At 38.7% G+C, this 12,987-nt stretch overlaps 2 long non-coding RNA genes across 2 annotated transcripts in view; one reads left to right on the top strand and one right to left on the bottom strand.

Annotated features, from left to right (window-relative positions):
- The window catches only part of LOC112268156 (uncharacterized), a 236,909-nt gene that overhangs the window by 20,849 nt on the left and 203,073 nt on the right, over positions 1–12,987 (bottom strand). The window lies entirely within an intron of this gene.
- The window catches only part of NR2F2-AS1 (NR2F2 antisense RNA 1), a 200,002-nt gene that overhangs the window by 120,867 nt on the left and 66,148 nt on the right, over positions 1–12,987 (top strand). The gene's annotated exons all lie outside the window — the stretch shown is intronic.

Here is a 12,987-nt window from a genome sequence, read left to right as displayed (position 1 = left end):
TGTACCCATTAACTCATCATTTAACATTAGGTATATCTCCTAATGCTCTCTCTCCCCCCTCCCCCCCACTCCACAACAGGCCCCGGTGTGTGATGTTCCCCTTCCTGTGTCCAAAAGTTCTCATTGTTCAATTCCCACCTCTGAGTGAGAACGTGCAGTGTTTGATTTTTTGTCTTTGCAATAGTTTGCTGAGAATGATGGTTTCCAGCTTCATCCATGTCTCTACAAAGGACATGAACTCATCCTTTTTTATGGCTGCATAGTATTCCATGGTGTATATGTGCCACATTTTCTTAATCCAGTCTATCATTGTTGGACATTTGGGTTGGTTCCAAGTCTTTGCTATTGTGAGTAGTGCCGCAATAAACATACGTGTGCATGTGTCTTTATAGGAGCATGATGTATATTCTTTTGGGTATATACCCAGTAATGGGATGGCTGGGTCAAATGGTATTTCCAGTTCTAGATCCCTGAGGAATCGCCACACTGTTTTCCACAATGGTTGAACTACTTTACAGTCCCACCAACAGTGTAAAAGTGTTCCTATTTCTCCACATCCTCTCCAGCACCTGTTGTGTCCTGACTTTTTAATGATCGCCATTCTAACTGGTGTGAGATGGTATCTCATAGTGGTTTTGATTTGCATTTCTCTGATGGCCAGTGATGATGAGCATTTTTTCATGTGTCTGTTGGCTGCATAAATGTCTTCTTTTGAGAAGTGTCTGTTCATATACTTCACCCATTTTTTGATAGGGTTGTTTGTTTTTTTCTTGTACATTTCTTTGAGTTCTTTATAGATTCTGGATATTAGCCTTTTGTCAGATGAGTAGATTGCAAAAATTTTCTGCCATTCTGTAGGTTGCCTGTTCACTCTGATTGTAGTTTCTTTTGCTGTGCAGAAGCTCTTTAGTTTAATTAGATCCCATTGGTCAATTTTGGCTTTTGTTGCCATTGCTTTTAGACATGAAGTTCTTGCCCATGCCTATGTCCTGAATGGTATTGCCTAGGTTTTCTTCTAGGGTTTTTATGGTTTTAGGTCTAACATTTAAGTCTTTAATCCATCTTGAATTAATTTTTGTATAAGGTGTAAGGAAGGGATCCCGTTTCAGCTTTCTCCATATGGCTAGCCAGTTTTCCCAGCACCATTTGTTAAATAGGGAATCCTTTCCCCATTTCTTGTTTTTGTTAAGTTTGTCAAAGATCAGATAGTTGTAGGTGTGTGGTATTATTTCTGAGGGCTCTGTTCTGTTCCATTGGTCTATATCTCTGTTTTTGGTACCAGTACCATGCTGTTTTGGTTACTGTAGCCTTGTAGTATAGTTTGAAGTCAGGTAGCATGATGCCTCCAGCTTTGTTCTTTGGCTTAGGATTGACTTGGCAATGCGGGCTCTTTTTTGGTTCCATATGAACTTTAAAGTAGTTTTTTCCAATTCTGTGAAGAAAGTCATTGGTAGCTTGATGGGGATGGCATTGAATCTATAAATTACTTTGGGCAGTATGGCCATTTTCACAATATTGATTCTTCCTATCCATGAGCATAGAATGTTCTTCCATTTTTTTGTGTCCTCTTTTATTTTGTTGAGCAGTGGTTGGTTTGTAGTTCTCCTTGAAGAGGTCCTTCACATCCCTTGTAAGTTGGATTCCCAGGTATTTTATTCTCTTTGAAGCAATTGTGAATGGGAGTTCACTCATGATTTGGCTCTCTGTTTGTTATTGGTGTGTAAGAATGCTTGTGATTTTTGCACATTGATTTTGTATCCTGAGACTTTGCTGGAGTTGCTTATCAGCTTAAGGAGATTTTGGGCTGAGACGATGGGGATTTCTAGATATACAATCATGTCATCTGCAAACAGGGACAATTTGACTTCCTCTTTTCCTAATTGAATACCCTTTATTAAAACATCACTTCTTAAACTCGTTCAGTGGATTGCCAGTTTAATGAGATGTTCACAGTTTCTCCATTAAAAAAAATTGGCTTAGTTTGATAGCTCACACCTGTAATCCCAGCACTTTGGGAGGCCGAGGCAGGTGGATCACATGAGGTCAGGGGTTTGAGACCAGCCTGGCCAACATGGTGAAACCCTGTCTCTACTAAAAAATATATAAAAAATTAGGTGGGCGTGGTGGTGCAGGCCTATAGTCCCAGCTGAAGGACTGGAGGCTGAAGCACAAGAATCTCTCGAACGTGGGAGGCAGAGGTTACAGTGAGCCAAGATCATGCCACTGCACTCAAGCCTGGGCGACAGAACGAGACTCCATCTCAAAACAAAAAAAACAAAAAACAAATCAAAGCAAAAGAGGCAGGGGAGTCTATTAGTCAAATACATCAGGAAAACAAACCCAATGTATAATATCCTCACTCTTCATGAGGCACTTAATGTACTTAGCCTCACTAAAGGCTCCAAGAAGTCCTGCAAAAATGTGATTAACTCAACACTTACCAAGCATGATCAATGTTAAACCCTTTTCTGCACCTAACCATGGTTACCTTGTTGAACAGTTTGGAAAACACTGCCCCAGTTTAACCTCTTTGAACTTCTCTTGCCATGGCTCTGTTTATGCTGTTTCTCCCTTTCTGATGCCCAGTTTGGATGGCCTTTTGGATTCTCCTTTTGGGAAAAATCGTCATTATCCCCTCTATCTTTTCAAGCTCATCCAACAGAGATGTCACCTGCTTTATGAAGCCCACTCTGATGATCCTAACTCAGACTGACATTGCTTTTCCTCTAACTCTTGAAGCACTTTTTTTTAGCTGGGCTATTTGGTGTTCCTTTACTACTACTTTCTGGTGTTCCTTTCACCATTTATGTTTATAATGGCATTCTTTTCATCTTTACTATGCAAAAACCAGCTTTAAAATTTCTTGAAGGGATTGATGGTTCTAATTTTTAGGTTGGAAGGCAGAATTGTGAAGAAACATGAGCTTTGGATCAAGACAGTTATTTCAGTCACATTTTGGTTAACCAGCTGCATGACTTTGGGCGAATTACCCAACTTCACTAAGTTTTAGCTTTCTTATATCTGTAAAATGGGGACAATGAACTCCCTACCTCTTAGAGGTGTTGCGAAGAGTAAATGAGACTATGTACAGTGTCTAATGTATTGGAAGCAATCATACATGTCAGCTGCTGTCATTATTATCACATCAGTGGCTAAGAATGCGACACAAAAAGGTCCCTTTTTTGTTATAATGACTGTACATGCCCAATATTCTGGGCAATCAAAATTCCTCAATATTCCAAATATTTTGGCATCCAAAGAGGCTCCCTCTCTCTTTGCAAAGGCAGAGAGAGGTATGTTAGATGTATCCATTGTCTAGCAAAGAATGGTCTTCCTCCCAGAGAGAGAAAGCCTGTTGCTGTGACTGCCACATTCCCTGCATTTTCTGGTCCATCCAGATTGTAATAGTGAATTTCACAAGCAAACACATAGTCCAAAGCATTCTGACTTCTGGTTCAATATAAGTGCTGTGTCTTTTTTTTTTTTTTTCTGGAGACAGAGTCTCACTCTGGAGTGCAGTGGTGCTATCCTGGCTCACTGCAACCTCCGCCTCCTGGGTTCAAGTGATTCTCCTGCCTCAGCTTCCCGAGTGGCTGGACTTACAGGCATGCACCACCATGGCCAGTTAATTTTTAAAATTTGTTTTAATTTTTTTAGTAGAGACAGGGTTTTACCATGTTGGCCAGGCTGGTCTTGAACTCCTGGCCTCAAGTGATCTGCCTGCCTCAGCCTCCCAAAGTGCTGGGATTACAGGCGTGAGCCACTGCACCTGGCCAAGTGCTGTATCTTGCATGAAGAGGTACTTGGCCCCTGCCTGTGGCTAGCGTGTCCACCTGGTATACCTGACCTGGACATCAGGGGACATGCAGGTGTAAGTCAGTGGCTGGGCAGATTCAGCCCTTTAGTTAATTTAGGTTAAATTTCACTTGAATCCATGTGATTGTTTATACTAAGATAGTTCAGCAAAATAAAATGTCGAGTCCTTTTATATTTTACATGATAAATATATATGAATCAAGGAAAAAGAACTTCTGTTTATTTACTAAACGTTTATCGAGTGCCTACTATTTACCGGGCACAGTTATATGCAGTTGTTATACAACAGTATACAAAATACAGACAACCCTGTTGTAATGGAGCTGAATTCTGATGGGAGAAGAAAGAAATCAAACAAGGGAATGAACTAATATATTATATAACAAATGGTAGTAAGTGACGTGAAAAAATTAAAGTAGGACATGGAAGACAGAGAGTTGGGAAAGTCAGGGAAATCCTTTCTGTTACAATGACATTTGAGCACAGATGTGAAGAAGAATCTGGGAAGTACTTGGGCTAAGGAAATTCTCAAAAGGTAAAGGATCATGTCGCCTGATAGGGAAGAGAAGGCAGCTGAGATAAAGAAAAAGAGTGGTTTGAAGCTCGCTAAAAAACATGCCAGATTTTGTGGCCAAGTCAACAAGTCTTTTATCTGCAAAGGAATTCAAAAGCCATTGGTGGGTTTGAAGGAGAGGCACTACATTTGTGTTTTTGGAAGATTACTCTGGCAGTGCCAGGTGGAGAATGGGTTGAGGGAGTGAAGTAGATCCAGAGGAAGAGGAAGAGGGAGGAGCTCAGGTGACTGATGGGTGCTGTTGTTTCCAGGGTGGCCATGCTGGAAGAGGAGCAGGCTTGCTGAGAAAGATGCTCACTTAGGTCAGTTCTGGAAGGGCAATGTTGGGGCGGTCCAAGAGAGAGTCTCTCCAATGCAGATGGGAGCAGTCAGTTGAAGTAAAACCTCCCTGGAGAGGTTATTTTTTTATTTTTTATTTTTATTTATTTATTTTTTGACGGAGTTTCTCTCTTGTTGCCCAGGCTGGCGTGCAATGGCGCCATCTCAGCTCACCGCAACCTCCACTTCCTGGGTTCAAGTGATTCTCCTGCCTTCGCCTCCTGAGTAGCTGGGATTACAGGTGTGCACCACCATGCCCGGCTAATTTTTGTATTTTTAGTAGAGACGGGTTTTTGTCATGTTGGCCAGGCTGGTCTCGAACTCCTGACCTCAGGTGATTCACCTGCCTCAGCCTCCCAGAGTGCTGGGATTACAGGCGTGGGCCTCTGCGCCCAGCCCCTGGAGAGGTTTTAAAGCTGGTGGCTCATGGATGGTGACTGGGGCCATGATGGGAGTGCATGGAATTATCAGGGAGCTCCTTAGAGTGAGAAAGAAGAGGACCGAAAATAGAGACGTAGGAAGGCTGAAGATCTAAGACCTGAAGGAGGGGCCAGAAAGGAGGCCAGAAGACACCCCGGAGCCTGTGAAAACCTGGAGGCTGCCCACCAGATAGCATGATGATCAAGACTACAGGTTCTGGTGTCCAACCCACCTGGCTTTGAATCCTGACTTCCCCACTAAAACTGACATGACTTTCGGTACTAAGCCTTGCAGGGTGATTGGGAGGGATTACATGTACCATGTTTAAAATCTTTAGCACTTTGTCTGGCTTGTAGTAGGTGCTCAGTAAAGTGGTACATGTGGAAGGGGATATGGAGAGGCACATGGATGGAAATGGAGATGGAGAGAGAGACGGAGGTATTCTCTAAAAATGTTCAACTCGAAGTCCTTGGCAGCATTAACAGAAGGAGTGGCAGCATCTCAGCTAGCATGCCAGAATAGGATCTGCTGTAACTCTACACAGCCCAGAGCCTGTCATGCCCTCGGGTAATGTAATGAAAGGTGTTTTCCTCTCTTCAGAACAGGTGCTCCACTGATACAATTTAGAGTCTCAAATTCCAGAGCTTAATTGTTTGTTCTACATACAAGTTAGCCCAGCTCAGAACACCTGTGGGCTAAGTTCTTTTGATGCACCAAAGCCTGTCTTTTATTAAGCCCTTTGCGAGCAGTCAAAATAAGACCAAATGTCCATGTGTCGCTGCGTAACCATGTGGACATGAAACAAGCCAGCCAGCGTGAGGAGTGCACAGTAAGTGCTTAAAATAGCAAGTGAATCCTTAGGCTCTGGAAAATATGGTTACGTGATTAATGTAACCAGAGTTAGAGATGAAATAACATTAAATATTTTATATATATAGAAACTTGCCTACACACACATAAAATTCCCTATTAGTTGTAGTTGAGGTTTAGTCATGTTGAATCGATAAAAAATGATTTAGAGCGGATGGTTTCAAAAGCTGGTTGTGCTTTCAGTCTTCCATAAAGAAGTTAAAATTAATTTTAATATGTTGATGGTGCTTATTGATGATAATATTCATAATAAATATCCATCGGAAAAATTCTCCGGCACATCTGTGTGACAGAGAGGTCAAGAATGTTAATGACGATCAGGACTACAAAATGCAATCCAGTCAATTACTTTAATTAAATCTAAAACTACTTTATGTCTTCTCATTTATGTAGTAAACTGATAGTGGAGAAAAGGGCACCATCTTTATCTGGCTCATTGTAGAGTCCAAAGATGCGGTCTCAGATTGTTTTAACATTTGTAGCTCTTATATCCTTGTGGAATATTTAAAGTATTTATGGGTCTTATGAGTAATGCTCCTGCTTCTGTAAGAAGAAGAAAAGGTGGAGATTTTCCTTTGAATGCCGTTTTGTAGAAGGAGAGCTTTCTTTTCACAGACACTAATCTTGTATTTACAGACTGGGTTATATTTGGTAGAGCCAACATTCCAGGGTAAATGGTAGAAACGTCTACATTTCAGTGAATCCTTTTTAATTATATTGTTTGGGATCAGAAGAAAAAGAACACAGCTGTCTGAAGTTCTCCCTACCACAGAGGTTCAAGTGCTTATAACCCAGTCATCATAGCCTGCAAAATGCCTTTTTATTAATTGTGGTATCATACAAAAGTTGGCATCACCTATGTGTTTCGGTTATTAAACTTGGAGAATAGAAAGGTGAGCATTTTAGAAAATGAATCAATTAATGAATGAGCAATTCAGTCAGTTTTTCCATGAATATTAACAGCATGTAGTGCCTACTGTGTGTCATGTGGTGTTACAGGCATCTGAACACAGCTGTAAACCACACAGAGAAGATCCAGTCTGGACCTCAAGGGGTTCCCATTTTAGCTTGAAGGAAATGAGGAAACAACAAAAAAAGTAAACTGAATTTTATCAGATAAGGCAAAAACTATGCCAAAAAACCCCCAAACAAACACCAAAGCAGGATGATGATAGGTTGACCAGCTTTTCCTAGTTTGCCCAGGGCTGCCCTGGTGTTAGCACAGAAAATCTTGTGTCCCAGGTAAGCCCTCAGTCCTAGGCAAACTGGGTTGATTGGCCATCTTAGTAATGGGAAAGAGAGCAGCTAAATGAGAATTTATTTTGGATGAGTGGTCAGGGAAGGCCTCTCTGGGGAGGTGATACTTGAGTTGAGATAAGAGCAATGCGGGGACCCAGAGCTCACACTGGTAATCCCAGCACTTTGGGAGGCTGTAGTGGGAGGATCGCTTGAGCTCAGGAGTTTGAGACCAGCCTGGGCAGCTTGGAGAAACCTTGTCTCTACCGAAAAAAAAAAAAAAGTAGCCAGGCATGGTGGTGCACACCTCTAGTCCCAGCTACTCGGGAGGCTAAGGTGGGAGGATCCCCTGAGCCAGGAGAGGTCAAGGCTGCAGTGAGCTGTGATAGCACCAATGTGCTCCAGCCTGGGTGACAGAATAAAACCTTGTCTCAAATAAAGAAATAAATAAATAAATGGAGCAATACAAAGGAGCTGCCTTCATATACCTGCAGATCCCTCAGGATGAGGTTCATCTCCTGGTGATCTTTCAAAAGAATAGATTCGTGCTTTGAGAAGAAGAATAAACATTTATGAAAAGTTTTCTGTGAGCCAAACAGTGTAAATATGTTATCTCATTTAATTCCTACAGCCCCAAGTGGTAGGTAGGCATTAGTTTTTCCATTTTACATGTTAGACATTAAGTGATAAATAATGTCTGAAGTCTTGAGCCTAATAGAAAATGGCAATAAGATCTTTCTCTGCTTGAATTCAAAGCCCACAGGAGGGAGTGTGAAAAGTGAGTTTAAGTACTTTTGGGAAGAAGAACCACTTTCTGCTTGGAGAAGAGATGAAAATGGATCCTTCATTTATGGAGCCCAAGCTCTTGCTGTACAGCCCCTGAAAGCTCCTCTAAGTGGGATTGGCTTGGACATTATCCTTTAACCACTCTAGATCTGACAGCCACTGGGCTAAGCAGCCTCTTTAAGATACCTCTTAAAGAACTCAGGACTGCTTGTGGAAACAGAAAAAACTATGGTGATGGGAATTGGAGTTTCTGCAAATCACAGATAAGAGGGAATGAGTGTAAATTTTTAGCATTACTATGGTCCTACTGTATCTCTGGGTTAGTGTTGCCTATGGGTGAATGAGAGGCGTGTATCTTTGTCTTATAATTTAGCTTCTGGGATGTGTGTGTTCTTTAAATCTTAGAGAAGACCTCATGTATCATGTCTTTGGATTTTCCATTGCAGCTAACACAGATGCTTGCATGTAGAATGAAATTCATAATATTTGTTGAAATTCAAATATTTGGAGAGTCAGCATTGGCATACTGGCGAAGTTCAGTTTTTGCATTCAAAGTGATTTTTATAAGACAGTCTCTGAGGTGACTCACTCCTGGGTTTGACTAAAAGCTATTTTGGGCTTTTAAAAAAAATTCCTTGCCATAGTTTTATATATACATATATATATATATATATAACTATATATAAAAATATATAAAACTATATATATAACTCTCTATATAAAACTATATATATATAAAACTATATATATATATAAACTTATTCTTTAAAAGACAAGGTCTCACTCTGTGGTCCAGGCTGGAGTGCCATGGTGTGATCACAGTGCTCATTGTAACCTTAAACTCCTAGGTTCAGGTGATCCTCCTGGCTTAGCTTCCGAAGTAGCTGGGACTACAGGTGTGCACCTCCATATCTGGCTAATTAAAAAAAAATTTTTTTTTGTAGAGATGAAGGCTTCACTTTGTTACCCAGGCTGCTCTCAAACTCCTGGCCTCAAGCACTTGGATTACAGGTGTGAGCCATCGTGCCCAGTACCATAGTTATATTTTGGCCCAACTCATGCTATGATGACAAACTCTGAAGGTATAAACTTATTTAGCTTAAAATACAAAGATGTGAGAAAGCACTTTTGGAATGGTAGAGTGAGGACATTAAAAAAAATACATACCACTTCCTCATAAAAGCAATAAGAGTACTGGAAAAATAGTTAAAAGCAACTTTTTCAGAACTCTGAAAATTAATCAAAGGTTTTCAGTAACTTGAAGAGTGTTGATTCAAGAAAGGTGGCTGAATCTTGGTAAGAATAATAAGTGTTGTGATGTTTTAACTTGCCCTAGTCCCATTCCACTCTCTCCAGTTCTGTAGTAATATTGAAAACTAACAGCCTCACAATTATGGTAGTCCTGAATGTAAGCAGCCTAGCAGCTACTGAAGGGGAGAAGTTCCATCTCCAGAAAACTTTCACTGTTTGACCTGTCTCACAGCTTGTCTTTGATATGACTCAGACTTTACTCTGTACAAATAGCCTTTTGCTAAACTATTTGTTGAAAACAGTCAGTGGCAATTATTTAATGTGGCAGCTACCTGAGGTGATAATAACAGATGAGGCTACCAAGAGGCTGAGCAAAACATTTAAAAAGGAAAAACTGAAGAATGATATGAGCATAGAAGGTTTTGAAGAGCTCCAACATATTCCCAGGAATCTAGAAGTCCACGTGCAAGTTCGGGGCTATGCACCTGCTCCAGAAAGATCCGAGGAGGTTCTGAGTTCTCATCTGTGACTAACCTGAAGTTTCTGTGTAAGCAGGAAGTGAAGGCATAGGCAGAATTCTCAATGACCTGACTGAGCATTGTAGATGCCCTCCCCTCTTCCAGAACTTCTTACTGAAGCCTAGGGGACTCATTGTTTCAAGTCATTTAAGAAAATCTCTGGGGTGAGTGTGGTGGCTCGTGACTACAATCCTACCCTTTTGGAGGCTGAGGCAGGAGGATCACTTGAGCTTAGGAGTGTGAGACCAGCCTGGACAACATGGTGAGATCCTGTGTCAAAAAAAAAAATTAAAAAAATTATGCCCCTGTGGTCCCACCTATTTGGGAGGCTAGGCAGGAGGATCACCTGAGCCCAGCAAGTTGAGGTTGAGGTGAGCTGTATTTGTACCTTGTCTCAAAAAAAAAAAAAAAGAAAAGAAAAGAAAAGAAAACCCTCTGTCTGAGCATTAGCTAAGCACAGAGTTTCTAAACAGAGACTTTAGTGGCTGTACATGACCAAGACTACAAATGTTACAGAATTAGTTTGAAAAAGTCACTGAACAAACAGCAGCAACAACAATAAACTTTAAGAGTAACAAATCTTGAAGGAATCTTCTTTCCAGAATAGCCACATTATATAATTTTATATATATATATTTTTATAATTTTATTTTATATTTTATTTACATTTTATATTATATATATGTCCAGTTTTCAAAAAATATGCATGAGCTACACAAGGAAACAGGAAAAATTCCAGATGTTGGAATTACTATACAAAAACTTTAAGTCAGCTACTATTAATAAGTTGAAAAAAGGAAAGAAAAACATATTTAGAGAATTAAAGCATGAAAATAATACTTCACCAAATAAAGAATTTCAATGAATAGATAGAAATTATAAAAAAGAAAAATAGAGATCTAAAATGAAAAAATACAATCATTGAAATAAAAATTTGCTAGAGTTGCCTAATAGCAGATACGAACTGACAGAAGAAAGAATCAGTGATCCTGAACATAGTTCAACTGAGATTATCCAGATTCGGGAAGAAAAAGAAAAAAGAAATGAATAAAAATGAATCTATGGGACGCTAGTGTACTAAAATATATGTAATAATCACAGAAGAAGAGGAGAGAAGAAAAGTTGAAAGTATATTTGAGAAAATAATGGCTGAAAACTTCCCAAGCTTGATAAAAAACGTTAACCTGTACATTCAAAAATTTTAAAAAACTCCAAGTAAACTTAACACAAATTGATCCACACCTGGATACATTATAAACTATCAAGACAGAGAAAATCTTGAAAGCAGCAAAAGAATCATAGAGTCCACCATAAGATTTAACAGTTGACTTCTGGTAAAAACCCAAGAATATCAAAAGGCTACTGTTTACATATTCAAAAGGATGATAGAAAGACTATTCATCAAGACTTCTATATTAAATGAAACTTTTCTCCAAATATAAAGGATAAATAAAATCATTTCCAGAGTAGGAAAAACTGAGAGATTGTTACTAGCAGACCTGCCCTACAAGAACTATTAAAGAGAGAGTCCTTCAGGCTGAAATGAAAAGACATTAGAGAGTAACTGGTAAATGTACTACATAGGTAAATAAAAATATAGCATAAATGTATTTTGTTTGTAAATCATTTATTCTCTTATTTAAACACCTACTTCATAAAGCAAGAATTATAAAACTGTGTTTATGGGCTTACACTGTGTAAAGATACAAGTTAATTGACAAAATTTCACAAAGGAGAGAGAAGAAATGGAGCTATATGGAAACAAAATTTTAGTACACTATTGAAATTAAGTCGGTAGTAATTTGAACTAAATTGTTCTAAATTGGGATGTTGATCATAATGTATGGGGCAACCACTAAGAAAATAAAAAAAAAAAAAAGTAAAACAAACAGCAAGGACATTAAAACAATATACTATATCATATGTATTTAACATAAAATAAGGCAATAATGGATGAACAGAGGAATCAAATATGGTAGAAGATATATAGAAAATAAATAGCGAAGTGGAAGATAAAAACTTACCTTATTTGTAATTACTTAATAGAAATGTATTAACCACTCCAGTGAAAAGGCAGAGATTGGCAAAATGGACAAAAAACATAATCCAGCTCTATGCTGTCTACAAGAGACAAACTTTAGATTCAAAGACACAAATTCATTGAAAGTTAAAGGATGGAAACATACTAGGCAAACAGTAACCAAAAGAGAACTGGAGTGGCTCTCTTGAAGACGAAATAGACTTCAAGACAAAAAGTGTTACTAAAGACAAAGATAGACATTTTATAATAATAAAAGGGTCAATCCATCTGAAAGACTTTAAAATTAAAACACATATGTACCCAACCTGACAAGAGAGAAATAAAACTGTCTTTGAAGATGACGTGATCTTGTTCACAGAAAATCTCAAGGAATTTATTAAAAATTTATTAGTGCTAATTGTTGAGTTTAGCAAGGTTGCAGAATACAAGATCGATATATCAATATGTGATAAAATCAATAAATTCTATTTCTATACACTAGCAATGAACAAGTTGAAAATGGAATTAAGACAACAATTCTATTTTAACAGTATCAAAAAGAATAAAATATTTATGAATAAATTTAACAAAGAAGTGCAAAATGTTTACACTAACAACTGCCCAATATTATTGAAAGAAATTTTAAAAGACCTAAATAATTGGCAAAACATCCCATGTTAATGATTTGGAAGACTTGATATTGTTCAGATGGCAATACTCCCCCAAGTGATCCACAGATTCAAGACATTCCCTTTCAAAATCTTAGTTGCTTCCCCGCTCTGCATTAAACTACTAGTTGGTCCTAAAATTTAAATAGAAATGCAAGGGATCCAGAATATACAAAACAAGAAACCTTGAAAAAGAACAAAATTAGGGGACTAACATTTCTCAACTTGAAAATTTAGGTACAGTAATTAAGATAGTGTGGTTCTGGCATAAGGGTAGATATTTAGATCAATGGAACAAAATGGAAGATTCAGAAATAACCCTTACATGTTCCGTGAGTTAATTTTTGACTAGGGTGGCAAGTCAATGGAGGAAAGAATAATCCCCCAAAATGATGCCAGAACAATTGGAAATCCACTTGTAAGAGTAAATTTAGATACTCTATCCCGCATCATATCCAAGAATTACCTCAAAATGGATCATAGACCTAAAGGTAAGTGCCAAAACTGTAA

The sequence above is a fragment of the Homo sapiens genome, chromosome 15 (assembly GCF_000001405.40).
Source record: "Homo sapiens chromosome 15, GRCh38.p14 Primary Assembly".
In the NCBI taxonomy this organism is placed as follows: domain Eukaryota; kingdom Metazoa; phylum Chordata; class Mammalia; order Primates; family Hominidae; genus Homo; species Homo sapiens.
The sequence above is the reverse complement of the archived record's forward strand: the minus strand, read 5'-3'. Positions and strand labels throughout refer to the sequence as shown.